Here is a 14,821-nt window from a genome sequence, read left to right as displayed (position 1 = left end):
GGAAGAACTACTGTCTTAGAGTAGTTCTAAGAAAGCCTCTCTCCCCAACCCAAATATATGCACACACACACACACACACACAAAATTCTGCTTTTCTGGGCCCCTATTCCACTCTGGGAGCCCCAGTAAGGAACTCCATAGCCAATGTGTAGCCAGCCTCCCAGGAGGTGGGTCTCAGCGCTGTGGATTGTAAAAACCAGGCCAAGGCTAATTAGGAGTTGCCTTGCTCAGGGCCCAAACCACCTGTGCACTTGGCAACCTTCACAGACTCTCCGGGGCTTGCGGCTGCTGGTTAATTACATGGGACTCGGCTCCACAGCTATAATTCAGTACCCACTGGGCAAGTGAAATCCTCTGCTTTGCACACGGCCCCCAGGAAGGATGAGTAAGGCTGAAGCCAACAATTACCCACACTCATTGCCCCCAGCAGCAAAGTGACTGGTCCAGGTTGGCTGGCAGCCCAGATGCAGGCTTCGGAGAGGGTGAGGAGTCTCCCTGTCCGTCCTTTCCTCCTTCCCTCCTCTTTTCTTTCTTTTCTTTGTTCTTTTCTTCCTTGCTTGCTTTCTCCTTCCTCTGTTTTTTTTTTCTTTCTTTTCTTTCTTTCTTTTAAAGACAGGGTCTCACTCTGTCACACAGGTTGGAGTACAGTGGCACAATCAGAGCTCACTGCAGCCTCAAACTCCTGAGCTCAGGGGATCCTCCTGCCTTGGCTTCTGGAATAGCTGAAACTACAGGTGTGCTCCACTGGGCCCAGCCAATTTTGTTTTTAAATTCTTTGTAGAGACAGAGTCTTGCTGTGTTGTTCAGGCTGGTCTTAAACTCCCGGCCTGAAATGATCCTCCTGTCTTGGTCTCTCAAAATGTTGGGATTATATGTGTTAGCCACCTTGCCCAGCCATTTTTTTCCTTTCTTTCTTTTTTCTTCTATCCTTCTTTAATCAATCTTTCAGCAACAATATTTAAGACCTACTGCATGCCAGGCTTTGAGCTTGCCCTCTGGATGGGGTGAATGAATCAGACACAGAGCTGAGCCGTGGTCCTTAGGAGCTTGCTTTTTTAGTAGGGGTGATGAGTATGTCCATGACCATCAGAAAAGGAGAACACAGGCAGGATTTCTGTGAGGGCACACAAGGGCAAGTAGGCACTTGAACTACCCCAAGAGTGAGCACCTCCTGAAATGCTGTTTCATAGGCACCTCACCCATCTCACTCTAATCTTGTCCCTTCATTTCTGCCAGTCTAGGTAGCCTCCAGGTTCCTCATGGGATGTTGGGGCTGGACTAGGGGTATTCAAGCTGTGCATGCTCAGAGCCCCAGGGGTTCATGGAGAATGGTAGGGGCTGCTGCGGATGGGATGCTAGGTCCATCTGTCCCCCACTTTCCCTATTTACACAGGCAACTCCTCTTTCAAAAATCCATTTTATCCTGTACATCCCACCTTTCCCCCCCTCACACATAATGCTTTTATGGTACCAGGGGAGATAGTGCTGAGTGAGAACCAGTTGGAAAACTGCTGAATACAAGCCCTGCCTAGCAAGGTTAGTGGACTTGCCCAGGACAACAGAGGGATTGTAGCAGATCTGCACCTGCAGTCCCAAGTGGAGGGAGCTCATGGCCCAGTGCTTTTCTATGTTTTTTCTTCTTTTTCAAATTATTTTTTCGGCCAATGTGGTGGCTCATGCCTATAATCCCAGTAATTTGGGAGGCCGAGGCAGGAGGATCACTTGAGCCCAGGACTTCCAGACCAGCCTGGGCAACATAGGGAGAACTTGTCTCTATAAGAAATTTTTAAAATGATGGCCGGGCGTGGTGGCTCATGCCTGTAATCCCAACACTTTGGGAGGCCGAGGCAGGCAGATCACAAGGTCAGGAGTTCGAGACCAGCCTGGCCAACATGGTGAAATCCCGTCTCTACTAAAAATAAAAAAAAAATTAGCCGGACACAGTGGCACCCGCCTGTAATGCCAGTTACTTGGGAGGCTGAGGCAGGAGAATCTCTTGAACCTGGGAGGTGGAGGTTGCATGAGCCATGCCACTGCACTCCAGCCTGGGCAACAAAGCGATATTCCATCTCAAAAAAAAAAAATTAAAAAAATTAAATGAGCCGGGCATGGTGGCACATACCTGTAGTCCCAGCTACTTTGGAGGCTGAGGCAGGAGGATTGCTTGAGCCTAGGAGGTCCAGCCAAGAGGCTGCAGCAAGCCATGATTGTGCCACTGCACTCTAGTCTGGGTGACAGAGGGAGACCATGTCTCTAAGAAATTTTTTAATAGAATAGAAATTATTTTTTTATTCTCAACTATTTTTAAAACAGACCAGAATTGAGAATTAAATATGAAACCTTCTCACATTATCAAATATTAGCATTAAGTTCTATTCATTTCAATGTTTTAAACAGTTGGAAAAAGTCAAAGACTGTGGAAACCCCCTGCGTAATCTTTCCTGATCTCGTTCTTATCCCACCACCAAACCAGGGAACCAATTTTACAAATTATATGTTTATCATGCCCACACATAGTTTTCTTTTATTTTTATGACCTATACTGTCTCCAGACCATGCACAGTTTTCTGCTTTTACTGCATATGTATGTATCTATAAAAATTACATAGTCTTGTGTTACAGGTTTATAAACCTTGTATAAAATGGCATCATTCTCCATGTAGCTTATTACCTTTTTTTTTTTGTCTTTTTTGTTCCTAAACTGGGAAGTTATTAAAAATCAGAGGTGTGGAAAGACAGAGGCATCCCGTGTGTCTGAGAAAATGATATAAACTGGTCCCAAAGTGGGACTGGCGAGTGCTGTGTCCCACTGAGCAATCAGAGGCTGCAGCATCAGCATGTTAGAAAGAACGCTGGACCACAGGGGAGAGGAGCCCCGCGTGGCCAGAGATCTTACAACAGTGTGAAATTTCAAAATTTACCCATGATTTTAACTGCTTTATGGTATTCTACTGTAGAACTATTTCACAGTTTATCCTTTTCCCTGTTGATGGGCATGTAGACATTTCTGCTTTTTCATTATGATGAACACTGTTGCAATGAATGTCCACATAGACATATTTCCTTATTTGAAATGCATCAGTTTCTCTAGGGGGCATGCCTAGGAGTGGACTTGCTGGTTTGAAGGGAATGTGCTTATTCTACTTTACTAGATATTCCCAAATCGCTCACTGTGGATGTTGACACTCCCATAAGCAAAGTACTCAAGTATCCATTTCTCTACATCCTTGTCAACACTTGGTATAATCAGACTTTCTAATTTTTTTTTTTTTTTGCAGAAATGGGGGTCTCACTATGTTGGCCAGGTTGTGCTCAAAATCCTGGGCTCAAGTGATCCTCCCATTTCAACTTCCCAAAGTACTGGGATTACAGGTGTGAGCCACCATGCCCGGATTCTAATTTTTGCCAGTTACATAGTGTGCTAGGTTTTGGGTTAGCCCAACCAGATACAACAGATATGAAATGTCAGTTCTTTGGTTGTGGATTTACATTTCCCTAATTACTACTGAGGCTGAGCATGCTATCGTAAATTCTCTGGCCATGTGGACCTCCTCTCTGTGGTCCAGTGTTGTTTCTAACATGCTGCACCCCATGATTGCTTAGTCGGATACAGCACTCACCAATCCCACTTTAGGACCAATTTATATCATTTTCTCAGACACACTGGGTGTTTCTGTCTTTCCACGCTTCTGACTTTTAATAACTTTCCAGTTCAGGAAGCTCAAAAATGCCATTGGAAGATGAAGATGCTGAACATACTGGTATATCCCCAGGGAGGTCGTCCAAGGTAGCTGGGGAGTGGAGGGAGGTGGCAGCCTGGATCAGCACCCTTGGCCTTCATGTCCACTGAAAGCAGTTGCTAACCCCATGGGGGATGGTCTTACTGACTTGAGCAAGGTCGGTATTAGGCTCCTGGCACTTTATCCCCCGTTCATTTAGAACCTTTTCCTTCCGGTTGTAATTAATTCATAGCAAGGAGTTCTGGACACAGTCTGTAATGCCTCTCACAAATACTTGAAGAAGAAAGAGGAAAGCAGAATAACTTGGAATTGACATAATTCTAGAATGCCAGAGCTCTAAGAGCAGGAACGTGGTCCAAACTTTCTCTTAGTCTCAACCCCATTTGCAGATTGGGAGCCTGAGGCCCTACAGGGGAAGTGTCTTGCCTGTCATTCCACCCCAGTGCGACCCAGCTGAGTGGGCTGGCGAATTGGGGAGGAAACTCCAGGTGCCTTTGAAACCTCTTAGGCGGCTATGGAGTGTGGCCCCTCGCAGAACCAACTTCTTGGATGAAGCAACCGCGAGGACCCCACAAAGTGCCATATGGCTCAACCCATGGTAAAAAGAAGAAGGTTTTATGATGTCATTGAAGAGTTCAGATACCCAGAGAAGAAGCCATTGGCGGGCATCACAGAACCGTGCGCTCAGATGTGAAATTAACTAAGGCACCCCTGTGCACCTTAAAAAGAGTCTCTATCTCTTCTCTTGCACTCCATCTGTCTTTTGTTTGTTTGTTTCTGTTTTTGTTTTTTTGAGACTGAGTTTTGCTCTCGTTGCCCAGGATGGGGTGCAATGGTGCAATCTTGGCTCACTGCAACCTCCACCTCCTGGGTTCAAGCAATTCTCCTGCCTCAGCCTCCCAAGTAGCTGGGATTACAGGCACCCGCCACCACACCTGGCTAACTTTGTATTTTTAGTAGAGATGGGGTTTCACCATGTTGGCCAGACTGGTCTCGAACTCCTGACCTGAGGTGATCTGCCCGCCTCGGCCTCCCAAAGTACTAGAATTACATGCATGAGCCACTGCATCTGGCCTCATCTCTTCTTCTTTTCCTTCTTCTCCCTTTTCTCTCCTCCTCCTTTTCTCTCATTCCTCCTTTACCCTCTCACCTCTCATTTGTCTCCTGTCTCTTCTTTTCTCTCTCCTAGTGCAAGAACACCAGCCTGGGACTCAGAGCATCTAAATCCTCCAGACTTACCCATTGGCATCGCTCACTCACGAGTTCACTTCCCTGCCCCGGCCTCGATTTCCTTGAAAGAATGAGGGGTTCACACCTGGAAGACTGCTCAGGCCCCTCCCAGCACTGTTGCTGGAGTAAGAAAACAACCGTTTGGAGGATGCCTGTTCCTAAGATTTCCAGAGGGGCAACCCCCCAGCCAATGTTCCCCAAAACCAGTTTGTATAGGAGGCATTGGGATCATAGACCCTCTTGGGAGAAACTTCACTGATTGTTCCTTGTCCCTAGGCACTTTTTGCCCATGCTTTTCCCCCAAAGATATGGGTGTGAATTCAGCAGCTCAGGCCCTGCAGCCCTTGCAGGGTGCTCGACACAGAGTGGGTTTGCCAGATTTCCACCATTTCCTCCTGTTCTGAAATCCCTGGGGTCTGTGAGCTTCTGTTTGAACAACCCTCAGGTAGCGGCACCAAGGCTCAAACCAGAGAGTCCTTACCCACCTAGCAGGGATTTCACTACAAACCCAGACCATTGTACACTGGTTGTGTGTTGATTTCTCCAGTATGAATATATAGTTCTCTGAAAATAATAAGATCATTGGCTGGGTGAGGTGGCTCACGCCTGTAATCCCAACATTTCGGGAGGCTGAGGCCAGAGGATAGCTTGAGCCCAGGAGTCTAAGACCAGCCTGGGCAACATAACAAGACCCCCATCTCCACAAATGAGTTTAAAAAATTAGCCAGGCCATTGTGGTGTGCACCTGTGGTCCCAGCTACTTGGAAGGTTGAGGCAGGAGGTCCACCTCAGCCCAGGAGGTCAAGGCTGCAGCGAGCCATGATCATGCCACTGCAGTTCAGTGGGTGACAGAATGAGACCCTTTCTTAAAATATATATCTCAGGCTGGGTGTGGTGGCTCATGCCAGTAATCCCAGCACTTTGGGAGGCTGAGATGACCTGAGGTCAGGAGTTCAAGACCAGCCTGGCCAACATGGTAACAACCCCATCTCTACTAAAAATACAAAAAAATTAGCCAGGCGTGGTGGCATGTGCCTGTAATCTCAGCTACTCAGGAGGCTGAGGCAGGAGAATCGCTTGACCTGGAAGGTGGAGGTTGCAGTGAGCCGAGATAGCATCACTGCACTCCAGCCTGAGCGACAGAGTGAGACTCAGTCTCAAAAAAATAAAACAAATTAAAAAAATCAGATAATCTCCAATTAATGTTAGGTAGAAAAAACAAAGGCGACAGTTTGAGCATTAATAGAAGGAGAAGAATTACCCACAGCTTTCATTTCGTGTGTTGTAAAGGGGCTGACAGAGCTTGTTGCCCCCATCAGTAGTGCCTGTGGGTTACTGACCTAATGTCCTCACACAGATTGGATCTGGGAAGCCCAGCCTGAGAATGAGGCAGGGTGGCCACGACAACCCTGGCTGGGCATGAAGGCCTGGGTGTGCTAGAATTCCTGGGCCAGATACAGGTCTGAGGGAGCCTGGGATGGACACAGATATATGCTGTCACTGCTTTGATTCTCTCTCTCTCTCTTTTTCTTTCTCTCTCTCTCTCTTTCTCTCTCTCTCTCTCTGTAGCCTTGGGCAAGCTACTTGTCCTCAGTTTCTCTGCCAATAAAATAGGGTAATAACATATCCCTTTAAGGGTGCTTCTTAAGAATAATTGGCCAGTTTTTGCAGGGCACTTTGAAGAAAATTGCTGTGGGGATGTTCTACTGGCCCTGGAATTTTCCTTCGTGCAGATATCAAACAGACAAGGATGGCCAATGTTCTGATTCTGGCACTCCCAGCCGAACCACTTTCCCCAGTTCAGTTGGAAGAGAGGAAGCGGGAGGGGCTGTGATCACAGCCTGGGCCTGCCTAGAATATTAAAGGCACAACCCAGCCTTTGATGCCTGCCTGCAACGCTTGTTAATTTTAATAGGAAGTGAGCAGAGTCCAGAAGCCTCTGCTTGGCAGAAGAAAACAGGTCGAGGCCAAAGAGGATGTGTGCCAACTAAATTTAGATCTTGTTTGGCTTTGAAGTGCTTGGCCCCAGTGCTAGAATTACAGGACCTAGAGGTCAGCGGTTGGGAGGCAGGGGGCTGGGGAAAGTGTAGACCTTAGGCCCCTCAGTTCCCAGCTCAGCCAGGAGCAAACGGCCCCGTCTCAATTTGGGAATCACCTTAGAGTCAACAATATCCAGAGCTGATGAATTCTTGGGAAACTTTGAATTAAAGATTTCAAACTGAGGTGCATTCAGGGGCTAGGTGGTTAATACACAAGAGTGAAGTAGGCTGATTGTAGGTAAAAGGGGGTGGCGGGGACTATGGCAAACTGTCTGAGCTTCAGTTGAATATTGGGATTTGGGAATAAGGATCGAATTTTGCTGGCTCTTCTGAGTTTTTGGGGGTGGGGGAGGGGATTGGGGCAGGGATGGAGTCTCACTCTGTCTCCCAAGAAGGAGTACAGTGGCGTAATCTCAACTCACTGCAACCTCCATCGCTGGGGTTCAAGCGATTCTCCTGCCTCAGCCTCCGGAGTAGCTGGGATTACAGGTGGATGCCACCACACCTGGCTAATTTTTGTATTTTTAGTAGAGATGGGGTTTCACCATGTTGCCTAGGGTGGTCTTGAACTCCTAACCTCAAGTGATCTGCCCACTTCAGCCTCCCAGAGTGCTGAGATTACAGTTGTGAACCACCATGCCCCGCTTAGCTCTTCTGATTTTATAGAGAAATTGAAAATCAGGACTGTGTGTGTGCCGGGGCAGGGGGGCAGGGTAATATTGCAATTTTTAAACATGGACAAGTTTTAAACAATGACAAGGAGCTGTTCCTTCTGGGATTTGACACTTCAGGAGCAGAACACTTCATAAGATCCTTCTGAGTCAAGTCAGTTGGAGGAGATGTTTCTTTGCCTTGAACGCTTTTAAACTTCAAGGGAGACCTCGAATCCTTCTAATTGTCAAAGCTTCCATCCCTCTGCATCCACTTTGGGACTTTATAGATCTAATTCAAGCCAAACCTCCTTTTCTCCACGTGGAAGAGGCCTCATTTCATAGCTTTGTCATCTCTGTAGGCATCTGCAGTTGCCTGACAAATATACCCAGGTTTGAATGCAAATGCTCCTAAAGTGTCTTCACCCACCTTTCATCCCAGGGCTTCTGGAAAAGTAGAACACATGTACCTGCTGACACGGGCCCGAGGACATAGGGAGGCCAGAGAGTGGCATCCTTTTACCAACCCCACAGGAAGCAGGAAGATGGGATGACTGGACACTTCTTTTTTGTTGTTGTTTGTTTGTTTGAGACGGAGTCTCGCTCTGTTACTGGAGTGCAGTGTCAGGCTGGAGTGCAGTGGCGCAATCTTGGCTCACTGCATCCTCCACCTCCCAGGTTCAAGCAATTCTGCCTCAGCCTCCCAAGTAGCTGGGATTACAGGCATGCCACCGCGCCCAGCTGATTTTTTGTAATTTATTTTTTTTGGTAGAGACATGGTTTCACCATGTTGGCCAGGGTGGTCTCAAATTCCTGACCTCAAGTGATCCACCCACCTTGGCCTCCCAAAGTGCTGGGATTATAGGTGTGAGCCACTGCACCTAGGAGCCACTTCTCACAGAATGGATGCCTGGCAGAGACCCACTCATGTATTCATTCATTCATTTATTTCACAAATATTTACCAAGGTCCTAAGATGTACTGGGTTCTAGACTGTATGCTTCAGAGGTAGCAATCCTTTAAACTAAGCAAGTCCTTGCCCTCCTAATTCTAATAGAGGAGAGAGAAGACAGACGAATCATCACACCCATGAGTAATCACAAAGTGTGACATGTGACATGGAAGAATACAGATGCATAAAGGGAAACCCAATTCAGACAAAGGAGGTGACCCTTCAGCTGCAACTTGTGGAGGAAGGAGCGTTCCTGGCAGAGGGAACAGTATATGCAAGGGCCCGGCGGCTGGAAAAAGTTTGGCTTTGAGAAACTGAGAGAACACCAGTGTAGCTAGAAGTAGTGACTAAGGGGAAAGCATTTACTGCAAGAGCTATGAATCGAATGCCCACAGGGTTTAGCAGGTTTCACAAATGAGTAATGTGAGCCAGGTCAGAGACAACAGGGAGGAGTGGGGACTGTGGCAAACTGGAGAAAACATGACCTGTAGAAAAGAGGCAGCTACTGTTCAACTGCAGCCAGTTTTACACATATGGAGATGGAAACAGTGAGTCCAGTGTTGCCAGATATATTGATTTTTCAAAAGAACCTCTAAATAGGTAGTTTTACACAAAATCTCCAATTAAAAAAACAACATTGAGAACCTCACAACACATCTGACAGCCTGGGTGCTACCTCCTTGCAGCCCCTGAACTGGGTAAATCCACAGGGGAGAATCAAGGAATTGTACAGCAGGGAACGTCTCACACTCATGTGAGGAAACTGAGGCCCAAAGAATTCTCAGCCCTCAGCCCTTGTTCCATAGGTGGTTTCCTGAGGAACAAGGAACATTTCAGGTGGATTTTCTCTTTGGGACCCAGGCAAGCTTTTACTTTGGTGCTTAGTTTTCTAATTTGCAACTGGGAGTGTTGAGGCCAAGTTTGGCCAAGTTTGGCAGCTGCCTGGGGCTATGGTGTGTGGGGTAATTAGGGCTTGGAAATAACTTTGAAGCTTTCCAAAGCAGAAGAAAGAGCTAAGTACCCAGTAAAGCTCAGAAGGGGATTTCAAAGGCTTGTTCCTTAAAGTGCTACCATATGCTTCATCTCATCCCATGTCCAGGGGACCTGATCCAGAGGGTATATGAACAAGTGGCTGCACTCTGCTGTGGGAACCTGGGGAGCACACCAGTGTATTCACATCTCTCCTATCACCCTATCTTTTCCTTTAGTTTCCCTTTTCTTTCTCACCCAGGTACTCAGTGAGCCCCTTCTGTGTGCCAGCCACAGTACCAGGCAGAAATACATCCCCACGGAGCTTGCAAACCCAGCAAGGAAAATAGGGAGTCAGAAATTCCACATGCATGGCTGGGTGCGGTGGCTCACATCTGTAATCCCAGCACTTTGGGAGCCCAAGGCGGGTGGATCACATGAGGTCAGGATTTCGAGACCAGCCTGGCCAACTTGACTAAACCCTGTCTCCACTAAAAATACAAAAACAAACAAACAAATAAAATTAGCCAGGCATGGTGGCATGTGCCTGTAATCTCAACTACTTGGGAGGCTGAGGCATGAGAATCCCTTGAACCTGGGAGGCAGAGTTTGCAGTGAGCCGAGATTGAGCCACTGCACTCCAGCCTGGCCGACAAAGCGAGACTCTGTCTCAAAAAAAAAAAAAAAAAAAAAAAAAAAAAAAATCCATGTATAGTGTGTGTTACAAGGTGGAACTTGTAGGGGCCCTAGAAGCCACAGAAGCAAATAACCCTTTTAGGGGCTTCATACCCCCTAGTCCTGGGTAAGTTATGCTACAGTTGAAATCTGAACATTGAGCAGGAGTTAGCCAGCGGGGAGGAGAGGATGGGAGAATATCCCAGGGAGAGGGAGCTTCCAGGATCAGAGGTTGGAGGGAGGATGAGGGAGCTTAAGGAGTCTCAGACCTCAGAGATGTCTACACTGGCAGAGCCCCAGAGCCCAAGGCCAAGCCATAGACTGGCAGCTAGGAAGTGAATCACACACTCCCAGAGCCTTCGGAGCCAGAGTAAGGGTGTTTTTGTTTTTGTTTTGTTTTGTTGTTGTTGCGTGTGTGTGTTTTTACCTTGAGGGTAATAGGAAGTTTCTGAGTTTCAACCCAAAAGGAAATGTTAGGATTTGATTGCATTTTTTTCAGAGCTCAGTGGTTACTTCCTTGATTTCATCTCCTTACAGGAAAATCTTGGCCAATGAATTGCTTCTAATTGTATTCTTCTCTGGTCACCAAATCTCATTTTTGCATCTTTTCTGCATCCTAAGACACCGGCACCTCACTTGCAAAATAGGTACTATTGTAAATCTGTATTTGAGATGAACACTGGCTCAAAGAAGTCATCTGCAAAGGTCTCCCAGCCAGGAAGAGGCAGAGTGAGGATTTGAACCTCAGTCTATCTGGTTCCAAAACCCAGGCTCTGTGAACAATGCAGGGATGGTCAAGATAATGGATCAGGTTACCACTACGTTTGTAGGGGGATGAGGAAAGTGGGAGGAGGCAAGCTAACCATACTCATCTGTTTATAAATAGAATACATCTGCCAGGAGACCACTTCCTGTTTAGTACAGAAATGCAGAACCTGGCAGAATGCTTGGGAAGTGACCTGTCTCAGCTACATTTCCAGGTAGAAAAAAATCTCCTACCTGTGCCGCAACCCCACAGATGCTGAAGGGAAAAAAAAAATCCCACCTCTAAAATCAGCATCTGCAAAGAGCTAGGTTCAGGAGGAGCTGAAGCTTTGCTCTGTGTGTGTTTGCATACTAATGAGGCTCATTACCAAGGGCCTGACCTCCAGGGTTCTTAAAATGCCAGCTTTTATCCAAGGCTTTTTTCTTTCAGAGAACACTGAGCTGGTTCCTGGGACGGATGCAGCACAAAGGGGCTTTTCAGGGCCTCCTGTTGAACGAAGTGTTCTGTTCCCATCGAAGCTTTGAAAGACGTGGGGAGAAAACAAACCCAGAGTGACTAAGAAGTGCTGCTTCTCAGGGATGGGCAGATAGACGCCCTGCAACGTCCCGGGACAGGCCTGCCGTGGGATAGGGAGGCTGCCCTTGGCATGGGCTGCCATCATGTACCCAGCACCTTTGGTAAATTATCGCTGTTGGGCTTATAGCTAGAAAACCTGAAAGGAGACGTGAGTCACTGGACATGTTGAGACACACATTGGTCCAAATGTACCAGAAGATACAGATCCTCCTCTTTCCAGCACCCAGAGAGGACCAGAAAGGCTCAGCCTGGCATTAATACGGTGGGTTTCCCTGTAGAAGGGCTGGGTCCACGGTAGAAAATCAGACCATTCCTATAAGCTCAGGAAGAGATCACAGAGGAAAAAAATAATACAAGTGACTTTTAGAGCAAATGATAAGATTTTCACCTGCACTTTTAATGATAGAAATGAGAATTAAAACTACGAACAGATAGCATTAAAAAACACATGTGACCCGGGCTCAGTGGCTCACATCTGTAATCCCAGCGGTTTGGGAGGCTGAGGCGGGCAGATCACCTGAGGCCAGGAGTTTCAGACCAGCCTGCCCAACATGGCAAAACCCCATCTCTACTGAAAATATGAAATTAGCTGGGTGTGGTGGCGCATGCCTGTAATCCCAGCTACTCAGGAGGCTGAGGCAGGAGAATCACTTGAACTCAGGAGATGGAGGTTGCAGTGAGCCGAGATCGTGCCATTGCACTCCAGCCTGGGCAACAAGAGCAAAATTCTGTCTCAAAAAAAAAAAAAAAAGAAAAAAATTCCACGTGATTAGCAAAGATCAAAAAATGTGAACTGTACTGTGCAGGGTGGCTGTGAGAAGGTATGTGTGATCAAGTGCTGATGGTGATGTGCTAACTGGAGGGTGACCACTGTAGCTTTCAAAATGTAAAAGGCACATGTATGTTCACAAAGCAGCTCCACTTGTGGGAGATTATTCTGTATATTTCTTTACACATTGTGCACAAAAAAGTGGCTGTCATTCATTGCAATCTTGTTTGTAAGAGACTGGAATAGGCTTAAATGTTCATGACAACGGGAATGGGTTCAATGAGTTATGATACGTCCGTATGGTGGAATTCTAAATAGCCCATAAAAATATAAGGTATGCTGGCCACGGTGGGTCACAACTGTAATCTCAGCACCTTGGGAGGCTGAGATGGGAGGACCGTTTGAGCCCAGGAGTTCGAGACCAGCTTGGCATCAGAGTGAGATCCAATCTCCACAAAAAATAAAAATAAATAAAAATTAGCTGGGTGTGGTGGCACATACCTGTGATCCCCGCTACTTGGGAGGTTGAGGTGGGAGGATTGCGTGAAGCCAGGAGGTTGAGGCTGCAGTGAGCCATGATCACACCACTGCACTCCAGCCTTGGCAACAGAGCAAGACCCTGTCCCAGAAATAAAACAAAACAACAACATCAACTGCAAATACACAGTAGCTCTATGTGTCACCAAATGGAAGGATCATGAAGATATTATGTTAGAGGAAAAACAAAGTGTAGATTGGTATGGATCAGGATACCACTATTTTTGCTGGGGGGATGAGGGAAGTGGGAAGAGGCAACCTAACCATATGTGTTTGTTTATGAACAGAATATATCTACTGGGAGACCACTACCTGTTTAGTACAGAAACGCAGAACCAGCCAGGTGCTGTGGCTCACGCCTGTAATCCCAGCACTTTGGGAGGCCAAGGTGGGCGGATCACCTGAGGTCAGGGGTTCGAGACCAGCCTGGGCAACATGGTGAAACCCCATCTCTACTAAAAATACAAAAATTATCCGGAGGTGGTGGTGCATGCCTGTAATCCCAGCTACTTGGGAGGCTGAAGCAGGGGAATTGCTTGAACTTGAGAGGTGGAGGTTGCAGTGAGCCGAGATCGCACCACTGCACTCCAGCCAGGGAAACAGAGCAAGACTCCATCTCAAAAAAAAAAAAAAAAGGAAAATAAATGCAGAACCTGGCAGAATAGAGGTGTACTTCTGAACCAAACAGGTAGTGGTAGTGCCTCTGAGAGGACTAGGGAGCTGAAGGCACACTCAGCTGGGAGGGAAACTTACACTGGAGGTGTTTTTTTTTTTTAGCATTTGGATTATTTTTACTATATGCTTGTATTAACGTTTTCAAAAAAAAAAGTAAGCGAAAAAAAAGATAAAAAAAAAGCAAAAATAAAAGAAAATATAACATCACCCAGAAATAAGCCCTGGTAAGATTTTGACTCAGAATTTTCTGTTGTTTTGGAATTAATTTCAAACTTAAAGAAAACTGGCAATAACAATAAAAAGATCTCTTTACTCACATGTGTGCCTGGCCACATCTGCTTTGTCATTCCTCTTTCCCATTTCACTCTCTACATATATGTAGATATATACAGTACATATATATACATATATATTATATTTCCCTCTGAACTATTTGAGAGTACATTGCCCCTTTACTACTAAATACATCATTATATATTTCCTAAAGGCAAGGATATTAATTTATACAACCATAACGCAATTAACAATATCAGGAAATCTAACTTTGATATGATACTACCATCTAGTCTACAGACCTTACTTAAATTTCCACAATTGTCTCACTCGTGGCCTGTACAGCAATTGTTTTTCTCATTCAGGATCTAACCCAGTACCAACAATTACATTTAGTTGTCCTGTGTTTTATTCTCTGTTCACGTGAAATAATTCCTCAGCTTTTCTTTTTCCTCATGACCTTGACAGGTTTCTTTTTTTTTTAAATAGAGATGGGGTTTCACCTGTTGCCCAGGCTGGTCTGGAACTCCTGGGCTCAAGCGATCCGCCTGCCTTGGCCTCCCGAAATGCTGGGATTACAGGCGAGAGCCACCAAGCCAGGCTGACCTTGACAGTTTTGAAGAGTATAGGCCAGTTATTATGTAGAGTGCCCCTCAAGGTTTGCCTGATACTTTCTTAAAATTAGATACAACAGGTTCTGCATTTTTGTCAGCAACAGAAATGATGCTATGTCCTCAGTCCATCCTGCTGAGAGGTGTGTGATGTCAGTTTGTCCCATTACTGGTGACATACATACATTTTTAAAACACAAAAACAGTTAGCTTATATTAAACAAGCTACTTTGCAACTTTCCCTCTCCCCAATCACAGACGGTCATCATTTTTATTTTTTAACATTAACCATTTTTAGTTTTATTTTATTATTTATTTATTTATTTATTTATTTGAGATGGAGTCTCACTCTGTCGCCC

The sequence above is a fragment of the Homo sapiens genome, chromosome 16 (genome assembly GCF_000001405.40).
Source record: "Homo sapiens chromosome 16, GRCh38.p14 Primary Assembly".
In the NCBI taxonomy this organism is placed as follows: domain Eukaryota; kingdom Metazoa; phylum Chordata; class Mammalia; order Primates; family Hominidae; genus Homo; species Homo sapiens.
This window is presented reverse-complemented; position numbering follows the sequence as displayed.